The sequence below is a fragment of the Homo sapiens genome, chromosome 8 (genome assembly GCF_000001405.40).
Source record: "Homo sapiens chromosome 8, GRCh38.p14 Primary Assembly".
Classification (NCBI taxonomy): Eukaryota; Metazoa; Chordata; class Mammalia; order Primates; family Hominidae; genus Homo; species Homo sapiens.
The window spans coordinates 143,288,246-143,310,222 of record NC_000008.11 but is presented as its reverse complement, the minus strand read 5'-3'; the positions used below and the strand labels follow the sequence as shown (position 1 = coordinate 143,310,222).

At 56.0% G+C, this 21,977-nt stretch overlaps 2 protein-coding genes and 1 long non-coding RNA gene across 21 annotated transcripts in view, besides 5 other annotated features; 2 read left to right on the top strand and 1 right to left on the bottom strand.

Moving 5' to 3' along the window:
* TOP1MT (DNA topoisomerase I mitochondrial) overlaps nt 1-899 on the top strand; it is a 50,654-nt gene extending 49,755 nt beyond the window's left edge. For 13 of the 19 annotated variants that reach the window (XM_047421336.1, XM_047421339.1, XM_047421330.1 and 10 more), the window contains one exon: nt 6-718. In XM_047421336.1, coding sequence (XP_047277292.1) covers nt 6-501 — 496 coding nt within the window. In that variant the 3' untranslated portion in view covers nt 502-718. Of the gene's footprint in view, nt 1-5 lie in introns of all 19 variants that reach the window. The other 6 variants (NM_001258447.1, NM_001258446.1, XM_047421333.1 and 3 more) reach the window with 1 other exon arrangement.
* Nucleotides 1,916-2,416: an enhancer, noted in NCBI's record as "H3K27ac hESC enhancer chr8:144389977-144390477 (GRCh37/hg19 assembly coordinates)". NCBI's record gives its function as "activates a minimal SCP1, AML or CMV promoter by ChIP-STARR-seq in naive H9 embryonic stem cells {active_cell/tissue: H9 hESC(naive)}" and the evidence as "EXISTENCE:reporter gene assay evidence [ECO:0000049][PMID:30033119]".
* Nucleotides 2,417-2,917: an enhancer, noted in NCBI's record as "H3K27ac hESC enhancer chr8:144389476-144389976 (GRCh37/hg19 assembly coordinates)". NCBI's record gives its function as "activates a minimal SCP1, AML or CMV promoter by ChIP-STARR-seq in naive H9 embryonic stem cells {active_cell/tissue: H9 hESC(naive)}" and the evidence as "EXISTENCE:reporter gene assay evidence [ECO:0000049][PMID:30033119]".
* LOC124902037 (uncharacterized) lies at nt 7,144-8,838 on the top strand. The gene is made up of 3 exons (XR_007061139.1): nt 7,144-7,473; nt 8,069-8,213; nt 8,390-8,838. It is a non-coding gene; the product is annotated as an uncharacterized LOC124902037 (long non-coding RNA).
* Nucleotides 8,839-10,270: 1,432 nt separating this feature from the next.
* Nucleotides 10,271-18,806, bottom strand: ZNF696 (zinc finger protein 696). Its single transcript, NM_030895.3, has 3 exons — nt 18,456-18,806; nt 17,158-17,251; nt 10,271-14,483 (listed from the first exon to the last, which is right to left on the bottom strand). Exons 2-3 carry the CDS (start codon nt 17,219-17,221, stop codon nt 13,423-13,425), a joined length of 1,125 nt encoding a protein of 374 aa, NP_112157.2. The 5' UTR covers nt 17,222-17,251; nt 18,456-18,806; the 3' UTR covers nt 10,271-13,422.
* Nucleotides 18,552-19,271: a silencer, noted in NCBI's record as "silent region_19615". NCBI's record gives its function as "represses an Ori minimal core promoter by ATAC-STARR-seq in GM12878 lymphoblastoid cells {active_cell/tissue: GM12878}" and the evidence as "EXISTENCE:reporter gene assay evidence [ECO:0000049][PMID:35858748]".
* Nucleotides 18,552-19,317: a biological region, named in NCBI's record as "H3K27ac-H3K4me1 hESC enhancer GRCh37_chr8:144373076-144373651".
* Nucleotides 18,742-19,317: an enhancer, noted in NCBI's record as "H3K27ac-H3K4me1 hESC enhancer chr8:144373076-144373651 (GRCh37/hg19 assembly coordinates)". NCBI's record gives its function as "activates a minimal SCP1, AML or CMV promoter by ChIP-STARR-seq in naive H9 embryonic stem cells {active_cell/tissue: H9 hESC(naive)}" and the evidence as "EXISTENCE:reporter gene assay evidence [ECO:0000049][PMID:30033119]".

Below are 21,977 nucleotides of genomic sequence, written 5' to 3'. Positions count from 1 at the left end.
GCCAGTGTCCTGGAGAAGAAGAGGCGGCTCCTGGAGAAGCTGCAGGAGCAGCTGGCGCAGCTGAGTGTGCAGGCCACGGACAAGGAGGAGAACAAGCAGGTGGCCCTGGGCACGTCCAAGCTCAACTACCTGGACCCCAGGATCAGCATTGCCTGGTGCGTGTGCCTGGGGTCTCAGTTCCCACCTGTGGCCTATGGGGGGCCTGGGTTTTCCAGGAGGCCTCTGTTCAGTCCCAGCATTGCCCTTGTCCCGTGTCCCCTGGGGTCAGCACAGGCCCTCCCTGTGACAGGGACCCATGATGCTGAGTCCTGTGTCATCAGCTCTCCCTGCCCTGAACGTTCGGATGGACAGGGTGAAGTGGGGGTGCTGACAGTGGCCTGGGACTCGGAGGCATCAGGAGGGCCTGTGGAGCTCAGCCTGCCCACAGGGAGTGGGAGGTGGCTGAGCGCCCTGCTCGGTGGACACCTAGGCCACAGCAGGTTGTCTTTGACACCTCGCTGATGCTCCAGGGTGGCGGCATGCGTGGGGTGGGGTTGGCCTAGAGGAGCAGGTCCCAGCTACACCAGGCGGCTCTGGTGTCTCTGCTGCATGGAGGACGCTCGCCCTTGCCGAGCACCCTGACCTGGCCTTCAAGGTGGGTGAGTTGCCTGCTTGCCTGGGCTGATGCTGCCTCCCGCAGGTGCAAGCGGTTCAGGGTGCCAGTGGAGAAGATCTACAGCAAAACACAGCGGGAGAGGTTCGCCTGGGCTCTCGCCATGGCAGGAGAAGACTTTGAATTCTAACGACGAGCCGTGTTGAAACTTCTTTTGTATGTGTGTGTGTTTTTTTCACTATTAAAGCAGTACTGGGGAATTTTGTACAATAAAATGTGTGCAAGTGCTTGTACATCACTAGAAAAAGTCCCCAGGCCGGCCGGGCACGGTGGCTCACACCTGTAATCCCAGCACTTTGGGAGGCTGAGGCGGGCGGATCACAAGGTCAGGAGATCGAGACCATCCTGGCTAACACGGTGAAACCCCATCTCTACTAAAAATACAAAAAACTTAGCCGGGCGTGGTGGCGGGCGCCTGTAGTCCCAGCTACTCGGGAGGCTGAGGCAGGAGAATGGCGTGAACCCGGGAGGCGGAGCTTGCAGTGAGCCGAGATCGTGCCCCTGCACTCCAGCCTGGGCGACAGAGTGAGACTGTCTCAAAAAAAAAAAAAAAAGAAAAAGAAAAAGTCCCTAGGCCAGGCACAGTGGCTCATACCTGTGATCTTGGCATGTTAGAGGCCTGAGGCTGGAGGATTGCTTGAGCAGACATTGAGGCTGCAATGAGCTGTGATTGCGCCCCTGCACTCCAGCCTGGGCAACAGAGCAAGACCCCATCTCAAAGAGAAAGAAAAGTCCCTGACGCCTGCCGTGTCCTTTGAAGCCTCCACCCCGAGCATGGAGTCTGCTGGGCTGTCACATCCAATCAGCGTCCCAGCCTGGACCCCCGGTTCCCGCTCGACAGGGGAGGAGAAACACCTTCGTGTGCTCTGAGGCTGAGGACTTTGGGTGAGGATTCCACATTTGCGCACGCGCCACCCTCTCAGCGGGGCCCGGACTCTTCACCAAGTTCTTTAGCGCCTGGAATTCAGCAAGGGCACAGTTGCTGCCTGGTCACTAAGCCCAGCGGCCCCCGTTCAGTTCTCATCACCTCCACACTCTCCATACGTAGCTCTTAGCTCTTACGATGGCCTTCTGCCTGAGCTTCCCAACCCTGTATCCTCTCAGAGCTGCCTGTCGGCTGCCCTCTGCCACGCGGGATCCTCTGCCGCCCTCTCTGCCACGCGGGACCCTCTGCCGCCCTCTTCTCTGCCACGCGGGACCCTCTGCCGCCCTCTTCTCTGCCACGCAGGACCCTCTGCTGCCCTCTTCTCTGCCACGCGGGACCCTCTGCCACCCTCTCTGCCACGCAGGACCCTCTGCCGCCCTCTTCTCTGCCACACGGGACCCTCTGCTGCCCTCCTCTGCCACGCGGGACCCTCTGCTGCCCTCTTCTCTGCTATGCGGGACCCTCTGCCGCCCTCTTCTCTGCCACGTGGGACCCTCTGCTGCCCTCTTCTCTGCCACGTGGGACCCTCTGCCGCCCTCTCTGCCACACGGGACCCTCTGCCGCCCTCTCCTCTGCCACGTGGGATCCTCTGCTGCCCTCTTCTCTGCCACGTGGGATCCTCTGCCATGCGGGACCCTCTGCCGCCCTCTCCTCTGCCGCCCTCTCCTCTGCCGCCCTCTTCTCTGCCACGCGGGACCCTCTGCCGCCCTCTCCTCTGCCACGCGGGAACCTCTGCCGCCCTCTCCTCTGCCACGCGGGACCCTCTGCCGCCCTCTCCTCTGCCACGCGGGACCCTCTGCCGCCCTCTCCTCTGCCACGCGGGACCCTCTGCCGCCCTCTCTGCCACGCAGGACCCTCTGCCGCCCTCTTCTCTGCCACGCGGGACCCTCTGCTGCCCTCTCCTCTGCCGCCCTCTTCTCTGCCGCGCGGGACCCTCTGCCGCCCTCTCCTCTGCCACGCGGGACCCTCTGCCGCCCTCTCCTCTGCCACGCGGGACCCTCTGCCACCCTCTCTGCCACGCAGGACCCTCTGCCGCCCTCTTCTCTGCCACACGGGACCCTCTGCTGCCCTCTCCTCTGCCACGCGGGACCCTCTGCTGCCCTCTCTGCCACGCGGGACCCTCTGCCGCCCTCTCCTCTGCCACGCGGGACCCTCTGCCGCCCTCTGCTATGCGGGACCCTCTGCTGCCCTCTCTTCTGCCACGCGGGACCCTCTGCCGCCCTCTCTGCCACGCAGGACCCTCTGCTGCCCTCTTCTCTGCCACCCTCTTCTCTGCCACGTGGGACCCTCTGCTGCCCTTTCCTCTGCTACGCAGGGCCCTCTGCCGCCCTCTCTGCCACACGGGACCCTCTGCCGCCCTCTCCTCTGCCACGTGGGATCCTCTGCTGCCCTCTTCTCTGCCACGTGGGATCCTCTGCCACGCGGGACCCTCTGCCGCCCTCTTCTCTGCCACGTGGGACCCTCTGCTGCCCTCTGCCACACGGGACCCTCTGCCGCCCTCTCCTCTGCTACGTGGGATCCTCTGCTGCCCTCTCCTCTGCCACGTGGGATCCTCTGCCATCTGCTCCGCGCTTTGCTTTCGGGGCTGCCTCTGTGGCTGTCTCCCTCACACCGGGGCTCCCGCCAACCCCATGAGGCAGCCCCTGTGTAAGGCTCCTGGTCAGCCAAGAGGACCCCAGCGCCCTGGAGGCTGCACCCCCATCCCTCCTGCTGTGGGGCCCTTGGTGCTCCAGGCCCGAGTCTCTCACACCGCGGCTCACCCGCTGCCCCAAGGGGCTCCGGCAGCAGGTCCAGCTCCTCCCGGGGCCTGTGACAGAACAGTTCCAGCAGGGGGCTCTCACGTCCCCACCTGCTCCCAGAGAGGTGCTTCTGTGCCCAGACATGGAACAGCTCCACAGAAAATGAGGGCACTGGCCGAGCAGGCCCAGACTCCAGAAGGGAAACCACTGAGGGTGCAGGCCCGACCCACATCACCTCGGAGTCTGTCCTCGCGGAGACGGTGATGGGCCTTTCCCTCTCTGTACAGATGAGGACACACAAGGAGCTGACTTCATGCCTGGACATTAAGCCCAGGAATTCCCAGCCTAGAGCTGGCTCTCTAGGTTGCGGGGTCTGGTCCCAGTCCAGAAACATCTCCCAAGCCACAGCTCAGGACACAGCAGGGTGGGGGTCGAGGGGGTGAGTGGGAGCTCCAGGGAGAGGCCCCTAAGGCTGTTCCCCGTCATCAGAACTTGCAGGCCAGTGGCCTCTAAAGGTACTCATTAGAGGGGTGTGGACCTCACTTGCCCAAAACCCCGGGACTGCTCAGCGCATCCTTCTGAGACGTGAGGCTGTGACCACCTGCTGCCTCAGCGTCCCCTTCTCACCCCGAACAACCTGCCTTTAACCCAACTCTCCAGACTGACACGATCCCTGTAGACTGTCAGAGCCTCGTTTGGATAGTCACAGACTACCTGGATAAAAGATAAAACATGGCCGGGCGCGGTGGCTCACGCCTGTAATTCCAGCACTTTGGGAGGCCGAGGCGAGCGGATCATCTGAGGTCAGGAGTTCAAGACCAGCCTGGCCAACATGGTGAATCCCTGTCTTTACTCAAAATACAAAAATTAGCCAGGCATGGTGGCAGGCACCTGTAGTCCCAGCTGCTCAGGAGGCTGAGGCAAGAGAATCACTTGAACCTGGGAGGCGGAGGTTGCAGTGAGCTGAGATTATGGCATTATCCTCCAGCCTGGGCGACGAGTGAAACTCCATCTCAGGAAAAAAAAAAAAAAAAAGATAAAACATGCAGAGTAGAAACCCCAGGTGGACAGATACCTGTCCCACCCAGAGAAAAGCTGGGTGGTGCCATCGACGGGCAAAAGTAGTGGAAAAGCCAGCTGCGTGTGCTGGTGCGAGATGCGTTTCCATGATGGAGGATGCCGCGCACTCAGCCTCTCCTGTTATCCTGTGGCCTGCGAGCCCTCTCTTAAGTGCACCAAGAGCAGCAAGGGACTTAGAGCAACTTCATTCACTGCTGCCCAGGCGGAAAAGGGCGCCCAGGCCCTGCAGCTGGAACTGGGTAACAGGCCGGGTGGAGACTCACACTGGATCCCACTCAGCCATGATCACAAGAACAGAGCGACTGCTGCTCGGGTCTCACGGGCGACTGACAGCAACCGGGAGCCCTGACGCCTTCCCGACACCCCCTGTTCCATCCACGAACAGGCACGCCCGCCGTTGTTTGAGTTTTTACATGTTGACACCCCCTGCTCCATCCACGAACAGGCACCCACCGTTGTTTGAGTTTTTACATGTTGACACCCCCTGTTCCATCCATGAATGGGCAGACCCGCCATCGTTTGAGTTTTTACATGTTTGTGAGTAATGTTCCATCTCAACAGCCTGGGCAACATAATGAGACCCTGTCTCTCCCAAAACAAGCAAACAAAAACCCCCAAAATTAGCTGGGCATGGTGGTGCGCGCCTGTAGTCTCAAGCTACCCGTGGGGCTGAGGTTGGAGGATGAGCCCGGGAGGTTGAGGCTGCAGTGAGCTGTGATTGTACCACGGCCCTCCAGCATGGGTGACCCTGGCTTAGGAAAATTTGTAATAATAACATCCCATCTCTCAGTTTACATGTAGAAATCTTACACATCTTTCCTAAATATCATGTAAGTCAGTCCCAGGTGTGTTATGTCCTCTGAGTCTATTCTAAATGGTTTATTTTGGATTTTTTTTTCCTTTTCTGTCAGATGCTTTAGGTACTGATTTTCTCCTCTCCGCCTGGCTGGAACATCCGTCTGCATCGGACGGGCTTCCTTCTGCACCTGTGACCTCACAAGGGCTCTCCTTGGGGAGGCAGGACCAGAGCAGCCCTGAGTAACCGGGCACAGCCGAGGAACAGGCCCCAGGGAGGCCAGGACCCGGGTCCTCACGCCTGCGGCCACAGAAGCACCGTGTCCCTGCAGCTGTGAGCCACCAGGCGTCTGGGTGGGTGGTTACTCAGCAAGTGCCAGTAGAGAAACTGGGTCCCAGAGTTGGGGTTGCTGTGGACTGGATACTTGTCCCTCACCTCCAGTTCACATGTTAAAGTCCTCACCCCCAGCAAGACAGTGTTGGAGGTGGGGCCTTTGGGAGGGGAGCAGGTTTAGAGAAGATCCTGGGGGACCCTCACGATGAGATGAGTGCCCTCATGGGAAGAGACACCGGAGCCTCCTCTCCAGGAGCACACACGGGACGGTCACATGAGCAAGAGGCTGCTGTCCGTAAGCTGGGGGTGGTCCCTCAACAGGAACTGGGTCTGTGGCACCTGGAGGCTGGACTCCCAGCCTGCAGAGCTGGGAGAAAGAAATGTCTGCTGTGAAGCCAGTCGGTCTGTGGAATTTTGACACAGCAACCTCGTCTAAGACAGGTGCCGGCAGAGCCACCTCGTCTAAGACAGGTGTTGGCAGAGCCACCTCGTCTAAGACAGCTGTTGGCAGAAGCAACACCTAAGACGCAGTGCACTGACTGCGAGTGCAGTCTGGGGCTGGAGAACAGAAACACGGGGAGGAGACTATTAGCAGAAGAAACCATGATTAGGTAGTAGTGAAAAATTTGGGTGAAAAAAATTGCCTTTGGGCGGGTGCTGTGGCCTGTGCCTCTAATCCCAGCACTTTGGGAGGCCAAGGTGGGTGGATCACCTGAGGTCAAGAGTTCAAGACCAGCCTGGCCAACATGGCAAAACCCTGTCTCTACTAAAACTACAAAAATTAGCCGGGCGTGGTGGCGGGCACCTGTAATCCCAGCTGCTCAGGAGGCTGAGACAGGAGAATCAATTGAACCCGGGAGGCAGAGGCTGCAGTAAGCCGAGATCGCACCACTGCACTCCAGCCTGAGAAACAGAACCAGGCTCTGTCTCAAAAAAAAAAAAAAAAAAAAAATTGCCTTCAGTAACTTGGAAATTAGAAAATGGACCCAGCTAAGCAGAGCTCCAGACAGAGTGGCAAAAATGTCAGCGGAACGCTCCTCGTGGCACTGGTGAGGCCTGCGAGCATGAAATGTGTGAAAGGAGGGATCGTCTAGTCTGCAGGCGGAATCTGGAGGACACAGAGCCGGGGCCTGAACTGGCTTGGGAAACAAAACCATCTCACATCTTGTCTCTGCAGTCAGCAAAGCATTTTCTTTCAAAAGTTGTTTTAAATTTACTTTTATTTTTTAGAGACAAGATCTCCCTATATTGCTCAAGGGATCCTCCTGCCTCAGCATCCTGATCAGTTGGGACTGTAGGGTGTATCACCACTGCCTGCAAAGAATTCAAGTAGTAAGTGGCCTCAGGATAAAGATAAAATCAAGGTTGTGGCCATATCCATTGTTAAGGCCCCAGAAAAGTTTACCATGTTGGGGCTGGGTGTGGTGGCTCACACCTGTAATCCCCGCCCTTTGGGAGGCCGAGGTGGGAGGCCAGGAGTTCAAGGCTGCTGTGAACTGATTGCACCACTGCACTCTAGCCTGAGTAACAGAGCAAGAGCCTGTCTCTAAAAAAAAAAAAAAAAAAAAAAAAAAAAAAAAAAAAATATATATATATATATATATATATATATATATATATATATATATATGCTGGAAGATAGTATATAGTACAAATCCTCTCAGCTAGACAAAAGTGTTTCTAAGACCCTAAAGGATGTTTTCCCACAACATGCTAACACATCATATGAAACAGAGAAAACACTGACAAATGTTTAAGTATATTTTTTGTCTAGTGGAGAATATAATCTAAGAAACCCACAAGATTTTGTTTGTTTGTTTTTTTGAGATGGAGTCTCGCTCTTCTGCCAGGCTAGAGGGCAGTGGCGCGATCTCGGCTCACTGCAACCTCTGCCTCCTGGGTTCAAGTGATTCTCCTGCCTCAGCCTCCTGAGTAGCGGGGACTACAGGTGCGTACCACCACACCCAGCTAAATTTTGTCATTTTTATCAGGGACGGGGTTTCACCATGTTGGCCAGGATGGTCTCAATCTCTTGACCTCGTGAGCCACCCACCTTGGCCTCACAGAGTGCTGGGATACAGGCGTGAGCCACCGCGCCCGGCCCGAAACCCACCAGATTTTTAAGGGCATTGTGTCAGTTTAAATGAACAGAGATGGAAACAGCTGAAAATGAAGCCTTTGGGTTCCCTCCTTCTACAGGCAGTAAGCAGCTAAGAAAGCTGCTTAGCCTCAAATACAGGCTATCGGACATCTAAAAACACAGAGGAGAGAGACCAAGGGCAGAGCCAAAATCTGAGGGAAAAAAAAAGGATAATAATGTCACTTCCAGGGAAAATGAGGCCCTAAAAAAGACACAGACTCTGCCCCCTTAATGAGGTCCCTTGGCAACATGCTGTTGACTGAGTCAACAGAGTACTACAGACTGGGGTCTGCAGTGAATGAGCCCCCACCGCTCTCTTTTTCAAACGAGAGAGTTATTGTGCTTATCCTGGGCCTGTCTCAAAATCCTGTGCTGGGGTCGAGGCAGGTAATTTTTTCTTTAGTTTATAGCCTCAAGAGGCATCTCACACACATCCGGACCAGAGGAGAATCATGAGCTGACGGCCTCTGAGCTGAGACAGCAGCAGGAAGAGACCTCTGGGTGGCTTGAGTGGGGGGTGGCGAGCATATTTCACTTGTGGAAGGAAAGTAAGTCACTGTGGCTCCAGAGTGGACTGTGGGAAATATCGGACGGTCCCAGGACACGCGGCTCTCTCTGCCCAGCCCTGGGGCTCCGTTGTCACGTGGGGATGCCCCTCACCACTTTTTTTCTATGAAACCCCATTTACAAGATTCCACTTCTTCCTTTTTTTTTTTTTTTTAAGACGGAGTCTTGCTTTGTCACCAGGCTGGAGTGCAGTGGTGTGATCTTGGCTCACCGCAACCTCCGCCTCCCGGGTTCCAGCGATTCTCCTGCCTCAGCCTCCTGAGTAGTGGGGACTACAGACACGCGCCATCACACCCAGCTAATTTTTGTATTTTTTAGTAGAGGCGGGGTTTCACCATATTGGACAGGCTGGTCTCGAACTCCTGACCTCATGATCCACCTGCCTCAGCCTCCCAAAGTGCTGGGATTACAGCACAGTGGCCAGCCCCTTCTTCCTCTTTCTTGGTTTGCTCCCTTGATTTGGAGCTCCTCCTTTAGTAGGCTCCTGAAAACATGTATTTTGAAAATGAATTTTTAAAAGTAAGAGTTTGCATATCTGAAAATGTTGTCATACTGTCACACTTGACTGACCACTTGGGTAGGTATAAAGTTCTAGGTTGGAAATTATTTTCACTTGTAATTTTCGAAGCATTGTTCTGTCATTTTCTAACTTCCAGTCTGCCCTTGGGAAGGGATTTATTCCTCAGCCTGTGTGTGTGATCTGCGCTTTCAGATCGTCTCTATGTCCTGGACTGTCTGATGTTTCACGTCATGCCTGGATGTAGGTCGTTCCTTCCATCTTTGTGCGAGATATCGGTAGGTGCTTTTACTCTGGAGATTCATGTTTCTCGGTTCTGGGGGAAAATTATTTCTCTAATAACTTCATTCCCACCATTTTCTGTTTTTGTTTTCCCCTCCTTGGAATTCCTGTTAGTCTTAATCTTTCTATCCTGTCACCCACCTTCTTGTCTTTTCATTCTTTCAAACAGATTTTCTCCACTTTCCACCTTCTTGCTAATTTAATTTTGCCCATTACATTTCCATCTCTAAGACATTTTTATTATTTTTTTATTTTTTTCGAGGTGGAGTCTCACTGAGCCTGAGTGACACCCAGGCTGGGAGTCAGCGGTGTGATCTTGGCTCAGTGCAGCCTCCGCCTCTCAGGTTGAGTAACGCCCAGGCTGGAGTTGGCGGTGCGATCTTGGCTCACTGCAACCTCTGCCTCCCAGGTTGAGTGAAGTCCAGGCTGGAGTACGGTGGCGCAATCTCGGCTCACTGCAGCATCTGCCTGCCAGGTTCAAGCGATTCTCGTGCCTCAACCTCCCAAGTAGCTGGGATTACAGGCGCAGACCACCACACTTGGCTAATTTTTGTATTATTAATAGAGATGGAGTTTTGTCATGTTGGCCAGGCTGGTCTCGAACTCCTGACTTCAAGTGATCCGCCCGTCTCTGCCTCCCGAAGTGTTGGGATTACAGGGGTGAGCGACCATGCCTGGCCCATCATTATTTTTGAGTTTCCTTTTTAAAACAATGTTCTGGACTTCATATGGCACCTGAGCTTGCCTTTCTTCCCCTGGTTGACTCACGCCTCCCTCCTGTCTGTCTTCATGTGTGTGACTCTGGGTCACAGATTTTCCTCCTAATCTTTATGTGTGTTTGTGTGTATGACAGTCTCACTCTGTCACACAGGCTGGAGAGCAGTGGCGCAATCTTGGCTCACTGCAACCTCCGCCTCCCAGGTTCAAACCATTCTCCTGTCTCAGCCTCCCGAGTAGCTGAGATTACAGGCATGCACCACCACAACTGGCTGATTTTTGTATTTTTAGTAGAGACGGGGTTTCACCATGTTGGCCAGGCTGGTCTCAAACCCCTGACCTCAGGTGATCCACCCACCACGGCCTCCCAAAGTGCTGGGATTACAGGCATGAGCCACTGCACCCAGTCCTAACCTTTACCTGTCAACCGGCAATTCTATACAGCTTACTGTCGTTAGGGACATATTTAGTTTTGTTTCCACCATCTTAATTTGCCCAGTTTGTTTCTGATTTTTTTTTCTTTTTTGAGAGAGGGTCTCACTCTTTTGCCCAGGCTGGAGTGTAGTGGTATGACTACAGCTCACTGCAGTCTCGAGCTCCCAGGCTCAGGTGATCCTCCCACCTCAGCCTCCTGGGTGGCTGGAACTATAGGCTTACTTACTGTATTTTTTGTAGAGACAGGTTCTCCCTATGTTGCCCAGGCTGGTTTCGAACTCCTGGGCTTAAGCGATCCACCCACCTTGGCCTCCAAAGTGCTGGGATTACAGGTGTGAGCCACAGCGCTCAGGCCCAGCCTGATTTCGTTCTTATTTTTTAATTGACAGAAGTTTGTGTTCAGTTCATTTATTTATTTTATGGGCTCTCACTGTGTTGTCCAGTCTGGAGTGCAGCGGCACAATCGTAGCTCACTGCTGCCTCAAACTCCTGGTCTGAGGATCCAAGCCGAGATCCTCCTGCCTCAGTCTCCCAAGCAGCTGGGACTACATTTTAAATCACAGTGTTTTATTCTTTTTATTGGATTAGAGATGTATAGACTGGTTACACTCTTTTAGTAATTAACATTAAATTACACTATGCACATTTAACTTATCAAAGTCAAATTAAACACTATCTTACACCCTCTTCCCAACAACCGGAGGGTCTTAGAACATTTCTGTCCCTTCTAATTTACATGCTATTGTTGTCTAGTATTTTAGTTGACACTATTCTTTTATATATACATATGTATTCATATTTATAATTTTATTTGCTTGCCATTCCATCTTATATCTAAGACCATCACTCGGCTCATTTTCCTTTATTTATTTATTTTTTTAAGATGGAGTTTTGCTCTTTTTGCCCAGGCTGGAGTGCAATGGCGTGATCTCGGCTCACTGCATCTTCTGCCTCCCAGGTTCAAGGGATTCTCCTGCCTCAGCTGCCCGAGTAGCTGGGATTACAGGTGTGGGCCACCATGCCCAGCTAATTTTGTATTTTTAGTAGAAATGGGGTTTTGCCATGTTGGCCAGGGTGGTCTCAAACTCCTGACCTCAGGTGATCCACTGCCTCAGCCTCCCAAAGTGCTGGAATTACAGGCGTGAGCCACCGTGCCCAGCCCTATGTTGCCTAGGCTGGTCTTGAACTCCTAGGCTCAAGTGATCCTCCCCCTTAGGCCTCCCAAAGTGTTGGGATTATAGGCATGAACCACTGCACCTGGCCTGTTTTTCATTTCCAAAAGTTCTTTAAGGAGTCCTGCCTATTCATGCGTGACAGTATGTACCCTACAGCTTTCTCATCACTGACTGCGCGACTTCTTTGAACACCTCACACATAACTATCCTCTCACCTGTATGATGACAGTTTCAGGATCTGCGTTTCTTTGTGGCTGACAGCGGCTGCCTGCTGTTTCTGTTGGCCCTCAGTCAGCTGACTCTCCTTGTGTGCTTGGGGATCTTTGCAAGCTGAATGCCTGACTTACGAGCAGGAATGAGGCTAAGCCAGGTAAGCTTCCTTCAGGGAGCAGGTGCTTTGACCGCTACTGGTACCTGAGGATCTTGGCTCAGCATGGGAGACACAGGCTCATCTTCCCACCTCACCACCGGCCCAGGGGTCAGGAGCTTAATTAACGGTGGGGCCACCAAATCCATTCTGAGACCACCCCTGCCCCTACAGGCTGCACAACCCTAAGCTCATGCATTTTAACAAAATCGGTGCCAAGAGCCCTCAAAGCGACTGTCTTGGAAGCGGCAGCCAGCTCAGGACCCAGAATTCTTCCCAATTAGTCCTTACCTGGGCAGAGAACTGCAGGAGGTGGTCACAAGCCACACCCAGACCAGGATGGGCGAATCCTGCAACCGCACCCCAGGGGCTCACGGCCAGTAGGCGGCTCACATTTCCCTGTCATCCCAAGAAACTCAAAGCCCACCTCGCTTAATTCATGATGACAGAGCTTTACTATACGCCCCCAAAAACGCTCCCCAAAGAGACACTTCTACTTTTCTATCTAGAAAATAACATTTTAAAAAATGAAAATATTTTACAGGAAATAACATTTGTACATACTCATAACAGTCTCAAAGAGAAAACGATTCCTCTACCCACAGAACGCTTCTGAAATCACATGTGTGTAAGCCTTTCCCTCCACACCAACCAGCTCTCCAACTCCCTCTCAGACACCAACGCGATGTCCTACAATTTAACTCGATTCTGTCACCAATTGCCCGGAGCTAGTGCAGAACCCACAGGGTAAGGGGTCAGTCCCACAAGACCACCCCGACTTCAGATGCCAAGTGCAGACGGTGGGCCCCGGGGACCCCACGACCCCCTTCTCAGGTTCCAATTTTTTTTTTGAGATGGGTCTCTCTGTCGCCCAGGCTAAAGTACAGTGCCCAGATCTCCGCTCACTGCAACCTCCGCCTCCCAGGTTCAAGTGATTCTCCTGCCCCAGGCTCCCAAGTAGCTGAGATTACAGGCGCACGCCACCACGCCCAATTAATTTTTTGTATTTTTAGTCGAGATGGGGGTTTTGCCATGTTGGCCAGGATGGTCTTGATCTCTTGACCGTGTGATCCGCCCGCCTCGGCCTCCCAAAGTGCTAGGATTACAGGCGGGAGCCACCGCACCCGGCCAAGTTCCATAATTTTCTAAGCACACAGAAGTCGGGACCATATGAACCGGCTGTGAAAAGGCGTTGAAATACATGGATGAACCACCGACCCGCAAGGTACGGGGGAGGACGCGAGGCTTCCATGCCCTGTCTGGGCGCCCCCTTCCTAACTGCCCCCCCACCCCGCCTTCACCAACCCGAAGCCCGAGGCCCTCATCTCATGCAGGGTTTTGATGGAGGCCTGGTTGCGGAGGAATGACCGATTCAATCACCGGCCACTGCCCCGCAGCAGCTGACCGTGGGAGGCGGGGAGTCTCAGAGGCGGGCGGCCGGCCCGGGACAGACCCCTGAGACCTCCCCGCCTCTGGGAATCGCCTCCCGCGGGCAGCGCTCGCCTTCCCCGAGCCCTGTCTCTCCTGATTGCTCCCAAGCCAAGGCGGATGCAGGCCTGGCGAGGCTTTCGCAACCCGAGAACCAGGCGCGCAGCCGGCTGTTACTTCCTCACCGCGCACGGGGCGGACAGGAGCCTCCCCCGGCCTCGGCCTCGCGCCCACCAGGCCGCCGGCATCTCTTCCGCCGCAGCCCCGGCTCACTCGGCGCCATGCACCCGCCGGTGCTGGATGAGGTGGAAGCTCAGGCGGAAGGCGCGGCCGCACTCGGTGCAGCGGAACGGCTTCTCGCCCGTGTGGAGTCGCTGGTGCCGGAAGAAGCCCGACAGCGCCCGGAACGCGCGCCCGCAGTGGCCGCACTGGTGGGGCTTCTCCCCGGTGTGGATGCGGCGGTGCTCGCGGAGGAAGGAGCTGCGGCTGAAGGCGCGGCCGCAGTCCTGGCAGGCGAAGGGCCGCTCCCCCGTGTGCACGCGCTGGTGCTGGAGGAGGTTGGAGCTCTGGCTGAAGGCCTGGCCGCACTCCCGGCACTCGTACGGGTTCTCCCCGTGGTGGGTCCGCCGGTGCCGGACCACGTTCGAGCTGTGCAGGAAGCGCTTCCCGCACTCGCCGCACGCGTACAGCCTCTCCCCGGTGTGGGTGCGGCGGTGCTTGGCGGCGTCCGACCTCTGGCCGAAGGCCTTGCCGCAGTCGGCGCACGCGTAGGGCTTCTCGCCCGTGTGCACGCGCTGGTGCCGGAGGAGGTTGAAGCTCTGGCCGAAGGCCTTGCCGCACTCGGCGCACGCGTAGGGCCTCTCCCCGCTGTGCGCCCGCTGGTGCCGGACCACGTGCGAGCTGTGGATGAAGGCCTTCCCGCAGTCGCTGCACTCGTACGGTTTCTCCCCCGAGTGGATGCTCCGGTGCTTTGCCGCGTCCGAGGAGCACTTGAAGCTGCGGCCACAGGCGCCGCACGGGAAAGGCCGCCCCTTCCAGCTGCCCCCGCCCTCTGCGCCGGGGCCTGCGTTCGGAGGGACGTCTGACTCGAGGCCACTCTGTCCTCCAGTTTTCTCAGAAGTGACCGGGCCTCGAGGGGAACCTCCGGGCCTCTCTCTGGCTTCCTGGTTTTCACAAAGGCCAAGAGACCCCAACGCCCGGGGAGGCCCCCCTCTGTGGCCCTCTCCCTCGGGAGCGCCTGCCTCTGCGGCAGGCTCCGTGCTCTGAGCTGCCTGCACCTCGGCTGACCGGCTGCCACTCGGGGCCTGCGCCAGGAAAGCAGCCTTCACAGCTGAAAAAGAGGCCAGACAGGAACGATTTTAGATGTAAGAGAACGTGAGTCGAGGGTGGCTCTGGCAATCGTGGTGACGACAGAGTGACAGTGATGGTGACGTCAGTGTGCCACAGACACCTTTGATTTTGCCCATTCAGTTCCCGCCTCGTTTTTTTTAGTTTTTTTCTCCTCCCCACCTTCTTAACCCCCATGGTTATGAGGTAGACGAGAATCCTGCACTGCCACTCCAGAAACGGGGCTGTGGGGCCGGATGTGGTGACTCACACCTGTATCTCCGCACTTTCAGAGGCTGAGGCAGGAGGACCACTTGAGACTTGGAGTTCAAGACCAGCCTGGCCAACATAGTGAGATCCTGTCTCTTAAAAAAATAGAATTTTAAAAATATACAAACAGAAACGAGGCTAAACGGGGCTAGAAACAGGGCTAAACCTCTAGCCTCGGCCCACCCAGTCCTGGGAGGGGAGGGGACAGAAACGCAGGCTCTGGGCACTGCCTTACTCTGCGGGACAGCTGGGAAAGCAAAGGAGGCTGGAGACAGCTGGCAGCAAGCCAGGACGGGAGCGAGGCAGATGTAGCAGGAGGCCCGGGGACAGTGGCACCCAACAGAGCCCACGGCCCAGCTCTGCCTTCTGTCTGTCCTTCCTTCCTTTCTTGTGAGCCAGGGTCTTGCTCTATCACCCAGGCTGGAGTGCAGTGGTACCATCATGGCTCACTGCAGCCTCAGGGCTCAAGTGATCCTCCCTCCGCCTCCCAAGTAGGTGGCGCACCTCCAGGTGAGCACCACCACACCAGGCTATTTTAAAAATTTTTTGTAGAGACAGTGTGTCAATGTGTTGCCCAGGCTGGTCTTGAACTCCTGGGCTCAACCCTCCTCCCACCTGAGCCTCCTAAAGTGCTGGGATTACAGGTGTGAGCCACCACACCCAGCCATGGCCCCAGCTCATTCCTTTTACCTTGGACTCCCTGAGACAACGCAGACTCCTTAACAACTGCCCCCAAACACCAAACTCTAAGGGCTTCTGTTATGTGCAAACAGGAGCGTCCTCACTCAGACAGAAATCCGGACCAAGAGGCCAGTCGCGGTGGCTCACGCCTGTAATCCCAGCACTTTGGGAGGCTGAGGTGGGCAGTTCACGAGGTCAAGAGATCAAGATTAGGTGAAACCCTATCTCTAATAAAAATACAAAAATTAGCTGGGTGTGGTGGTGCACACCTGTAGTCCCAGCTACTTGAGAGGCTGAGGCAGAAGAATCACTTGAATCCAGGAGGTGGAGATTGCAGTGAGCTGGCGCCACTGCACTCCAGCCTGGCGACAGAGCAAGACTTTGTCTTAAAAAAAAAAAAAAGAAAAGAAAAGAAATCCGGAACAAGAGCTGGAAGCAGCAACCCACGTCCCATGTGGGCTGGGCGGCGGCGGCGCTGGTCAGGCTGAGCAACCCCATCCAGGCTGCGTTATCAATGGCCCTTGTCTGGCAGTCAAGCCACTGGTTAGATTTGGTTCCACTGGCTCACAGGGACAGACCATGTGGCCATTTAGAAAAAAGGCTTAAGGGGTAGGGGTGAAACCCTGGGACATGAGAAAGCTGGCAACTGAGCTTGGCCTGCATAGGAGGCAGGAGGACTCAGCCAGGAGGGGCAGCAGGAGGAGGGGGGCCAACGAGGCCAGCACAGCAACTGAGGAGGACTTCTCAGTCTGCAGGCAGTCCGCTGTGGCAGCAGAGGAGAAGCGGCTGAGTCCCAGCTGCACCTCTCAAGAATGTGGAGGGCGCAGATAAGACGGAAGCTCCTGTGGAGGTGGGGGTGGGGCAGGGATGTTCCAGGGCAGATGAGAGCAGGCTGCTATCGACAGTCCCCACCTCTCTCTGCCCTTGCAGACCCCTGACACTGAGCAGCCAGGGGGCGGGAGGCGCTCAGGGCGGCCTGCAGAACAGAAGCCCCTTGGCAGAGGCCCAGCCCTGGTCTTGTGGTTTGCAGACTTGGAAGTTCAAGAACTGACTCAAAGGTATTGCTTATGAGGAAAAAGAACCAAGACTATGGTGAGAAGGGGACACATACGTGGTGGAGCTCTACTGGATCCAGCCTGCAGGCCCCAAGGACGCCTTTCCGATGGAGGCAATCCCAGACCTCACAGCAGGGCCTGCACTGCCCACGCCATCTCCCGGGCTGTTGCTGTGACACACTCTCAGGGTGGCCCCAAAACATAAAGCAGTGTTCTCATGGGGGCGATTTTGTCCTGAGGGCACATTTGACAATGTGTGGAGATGTTTTGGATTGTCACAACTGGGAGGGGGCCCTACTGACACCAAGTGGGCAGAGGCGAGGGTGCTGCCGAACGTCCTACAACACACAGGATGGCCCCTCAACAAAGACTCGTCCATTCCAAAACAGCCACGGTGCCAAGGTGGAGAAGCACTGAGAGAGAGACCTTCCCAGAGGCAGAGCCTGGGGCTGCCAGACTTTCTAACCAAAAGCTCTCAGTTCACTGGCAAAGACAGTCACCAAACAGATGCCCAGGAGATCTGATGGGCCTGCGTTTACCTCCCTCCCTCACCCTGCGCCCAAGGACACAGTATATGCTCTGCGTCAGTGACTGAGACATGGTGTTTTTCCTGTATTCCTGTTCAATTCCTGCCCTGGAACTCTGGGCCCGACTGTGGACATGTCCCCTCACCTGCAAGGGACTCCATCAGGGTACTGCTCTCTTTAGCACCTGTGGGCTCTCCTCCTGGCTCCATCTTGCAGAACACCAGCAGTTGGAACAATTTCTGCTTAGGTAAAAGAAAAGGAAAATAAATCACAGCCAGGGCTAGGTACAGGGGCCAGGGGCAGTGAGGTCAGAATGCCTTCAGAGGAAACTGTCAGAACAGGCCCTGTGGGAGCTGCATCACCCAGCTGGGCCCACTCCTGTCACTAGCAATCAAGGTCCTGGCTCAACAGACACTCCCAGAAGCGGGTGTTCTGTTCTGTGGGATGCCCAGGAACTCTGGTCCAGGCTCTGCGGGTCCCCCTCCACCCAGGGCTGACGCAGAGCACAGGTGGGCGTGGCCACAGCTTCCTAGCTCCATGCTGAGGAAGCCCGCGCCCTCCAGCAGTCTTCAAATGTCTAGAGAAATTCCCATGGGTTTTAAAATTTTCTTGGTAGTTATAAGGATTTGAATATAAAAATGTTAAACCAGAAGAAAAGAACAACTTATTTGAATGGTAAAGTTTTGGAATGAGGAATGATTTTTCTAAGCCTGACATCAGATGTCTGACAAATTCAACTACATAAAAAAATTTAATGTAAAAAAAAAAAACCAAAAAGGGAGGAATACGTGCAATGCAAAGATTCATCCCTATCTGATAAAGACCTCTATATATTAATGAGAAAGGAAGGAAAATTGGCAAAGATCATGAATAGGTAACTCACAAAGAAGAAAAACCAGTAGGCAATACATTTTTTTAGGTCTCACCTCAAGTGCAATTAAGAAATGTAATTTGGCTGGGTGCTGTGGCTCACAGTTGTAATCCTAGCACTTCAAAAGGCTCAGGATGGAGGACTGACTGATTACAAGAGTTCCTGACCAGCCTGGGCAACATAGTGAGACCCCGTCTCTACAAAAAATCAAAAAATTAGCCAGGTGTGATGGTGGGCGTCTGTAGTCCCAGCTACTAGGGAGGCTGAGGTGGGAGGACTGCCTGAGCCCAGGAGGTCTAGGCTGGGGTGAACCGAGATTTCGCCACTGCACTCCAGCTGGGCGTTGGAGTGAGACCCTGTCTTAAAAAAATAAGTAAATAAAGTGATTAATTAGTAAATTTAATTTAAGCCGCCTGTAATCCCGCCTGCCAGGGAGGCTGAGCGGGAGGATCGCTTGAGCCCAGGAGTAGGAGGCCAGCCTGGGAAACATAGCGAGACCCCGCCGCTTTTACAAAAAGGTAATTTAAAGTGCAATTTTTTAGTCTGGAAGCAGATTTTTGCAAGTACCTTACCGGCAAGAATTAGGGAACAGGCCCTCCTGTTCACAGCTGGGAAGAAGCTCGATGAGCTGGGCCGGTGGGAAATTTGACAACTTACAAAGGCCTGAAGACGCGCAGCGGGGACTCAGCTCGCAGGAAGCCCCGCACGTGTCGGACCCCGGGTACGCACCTGCAGGGCCGCCTCCCCCACGCCGCGCCCGAGAGCGGCTGGGGCCTGCACTGCAAGGAGAGCGCGGGACGCGCGGGCCACGGCGGCGGTGACCGCCCCGTTCTCTCGGCCGCGCCCTCAGCCCTCCCGAATCGACACCCCAGCAAGAGAAGCCGGGGCCTCAGCGTCCAGAGCAGCTGGACTGCACCCGCTACGGTCCCCGCCCCGTCGCGCGCCGGAAACGCCAGTCTCCACCCCTGGCCCGCCCCCTCGGCACTTCCGGCGACGCTCTGGGCAGCGGGAGGACAGCGCGCTCGGCGGCGGGAGAGCGGGACGGCCCAGCCGCGGCGCCTTCAGCTCATCGGTTGCCCGCAGGCGCCGGCCGAGTCCTTCCTGCCGGGCAGGAAGCCCTGCCTCGTGGGGGGCAAGGTCGAGCCGTTGGCGCGCCGGGATCCGGCTCGAGCCAACTGAGGACCGGGCACCCGCAGGACGTGTCAGGAGGTGTCGAAGGCCCGCTGTGGGGCGGCCACGCGCGTTCCCGTCCGTTCCCCGCGGCGTCCCGCGCTTGTCCCGGGTCCCGCTCGGCTCACGGGACCCTCCAGGCCCCCGGGGCTGTGGCAGCACGCGGGTCCCGAGCGTGGGCTTCCTTGGGGCCGAGAGCTTGGAGCGCCCCAGGCGCTGCCCCCCGCCTCCCTGCAGGACGCCGCCCTCGCGTCTCCGCTGCAGAGAAGCCCTTGCTGCCCGCCTCTCGCGGGCTCTGGGCTCTTTCTCACCAGGGACCGAGCTCTCATTCGTTCAGCCTTCCCCGGGCAAGATGCACCTCCTGTCCAAGTCTCTCGCCCTTCCGCCTGCCGCAGACCGAAGGTCACGCATCTCCAGCTGGAATGCTGCAAAAGTGACGCTTTTCATCATGGGTGCAAAGTGTACAGCTGCAATGTGGACTTGTTCCCTCTTACAACGAGTAGACAGACCCTCTCTGGGGAGAAAAGAAAGGCTGAAGAACCGATTCCCATGAGAGAACCCTAAGAAGACAGCAACAGAGGGCCAGACGCGCCCCTGGAACTGGACCCTGGACTGGGGCGGGAGGGCCACAGCCTTGGGAGCCCAGGTCCCTGCCCGCGCCTCCGACAGTCCCGCGCCGCCGCCACCCGGCATCTGCCTCTGGGCCTCCACATCTCGTGCCTGGAACCGCGTTCATTGCGCACTGCACCAGTAAACACCTGAACACTCCCACCACATGCTGCACGTTTATTTGTAACAAATTAGAAGCTGTTGTAAAAGATAAAAATTAAAACACTTAGACTGGGTGGGCGAGAGGCTCATGAATGTAATCCCAGCACTTTGGGAGGCCAAGGCAGGAGGATTGTTTGAGTCCAGGAGTTTCAGACCAGCCTGAGCAACATAGTTAGAACCGTGTCGACTAAAAATTTTTTTTAAAAATTAGCCGGGCGTGGTGGCCGGCGCCTGTGGTACCAGCTACTCGGGAGGCTGAGGCGGGGGGACCACTTGAGCTCGGGAGGCGGAGGCTGCAGTGAGCCGAGATTGGCACTGCACTCCAGCCTGGGTGACAGAGATTCTGTCGCAAAACAAAAACAACAACAACAACACACACCACACACACACACATCTAAAAGAGATGATGTAGAAGTACAAGTAACCGTTTCCCTCTGCATCCCAGTGGAACGTCGTGGGTCTTCTGAAGACCCTCTCTTGCCCTGCAGGCTCCGGTACTCCAAGCACGCGAGTCTGCGCAGGAGGCGCTTCGCTCTCCGGAGCTCCCCACTGCCTCCTAGACACAGTCCCGGCTCCTTACCCCGGGCGGAGGCTCTTCCAGACGGGTCCCGACTGCCTCTGTATGCCCACTGCTGCCGTGCCAGAAGCCACTGCCCTCTCCTCGCCCCTTTCCAAATGTGCCCTGCCTCAGGCCCGTGTCATGCTGTTCCCTGTGCCGCTTTCGCCCGTCCCCTCACTCCCCGCCACCAGAACCGGGAAGGCGGTGCCCCCTTTCCAGGCCCAACTTCCGGCACTGAACCTCTAGGAGTCCGCAGCCTCCTCCGCCCGGGCCTCTCCCCGCTGGCTCAGACCGCAGGGCCAGCAGCCCCGCCCACACGGAAGCCCCGCCCATCAGGCCGACCCCGCCCCTCCTGCCTCGGCCCCGCCCTCGCCTTGGCCCCGCCTCCTCGCTGGCAGCCGGCAGGCGCAGTCGGGGTCGTGGGACCCAGGAGGGGCCTCCAGCAGGTGCCTTGGCGAAGATCCTGGACTGCGTCACAGCCCAGGGTAGCCGTCCCGCGGCCCGGCTTTGGAGCTTCCCACGGACACCCGGGGCTCTGCCTCCTCCGAAATCACCCCTCACCGCTTCCCTCCTGCTCTCCCACAATGGGAGGCCACACGCTGGGGCCCCTGAGAAACAGAATCGAAAACACAAGGCAGGACTCCAGGGACATGGGGGTGGGGGAGTGAATCCAAGCAACTCAGGACGCCCGCGAATAGCTCAGATCCTGCGAAGAGCCCGCGCCCTGGAATTCTGTTTGCTAAGGGGGTCCTCACGGTGTAGGGTGAGACAGAGAACCTCTGGGCAGTTGCAGGTGGTAAATGTCCATGATAAAGGGCAAGTTCACAGTCTAGAAAATTCTGGATTTCTTGATCCAAAAGTAGCCGAGTCCAGGCCGGAGAGGTGGCTCACGCCTGTAATCCCAGCACTCTGGGAGGCCAAGACAGGAGGATCACTCGAGGTCAGGAGTTCGAGACCAGCCTGGCCAACATAGTGAAACCCCATCTCCACCAAAAAAAAAATTACAAAAAATTAGCCAGGCATGTTGGTGCTTGCCTTAGTCCCAGCTACTCGGGAGGCTGGGGCAGGAGAATTGCTTGAATCCAGGAGGCGGAGGTTGCAGTAAGATTTCGCCACTGCACTCCACAGTGAGACTCCGTCTCAAAAAAAAAAAAAAAAAAAAAAAAAAAAAAAAAGTAGCTGAGTCTTAGAATACCACCCCTTCAAGGACTGTTTCCATGAGCCTATCCACTGAGTCTCTTACCTGCTACCCTGAAAAAAAAAAGTACGATGAAGAAATTACCAAAGGCACCCCTGAAAAACAAAGACAGCTGGGCCTGGCGCAGTGGCTCACTCCTGTCATCCCAGCACGTTGGGAGGCCGAGGCGGGTGGATCACCTGAGGTCAGGGGTTTGAGACCAGCCTGGCCAACACGGTGAAATTCCATCTCTACTAAAACTACAAAAATTAGCCGGGAGTGGTGGTGTTCGCCTGTAATCCCAGGTACTCGGGAGGCTGAGGCAGGAGAATCACTTGAGCCCGGGAGGTGGAGATTGCAGTGAGCTGAGATCACGCCATTGCACTCCAGCTTGGGTGACAGAGTGAGACCTGTGGG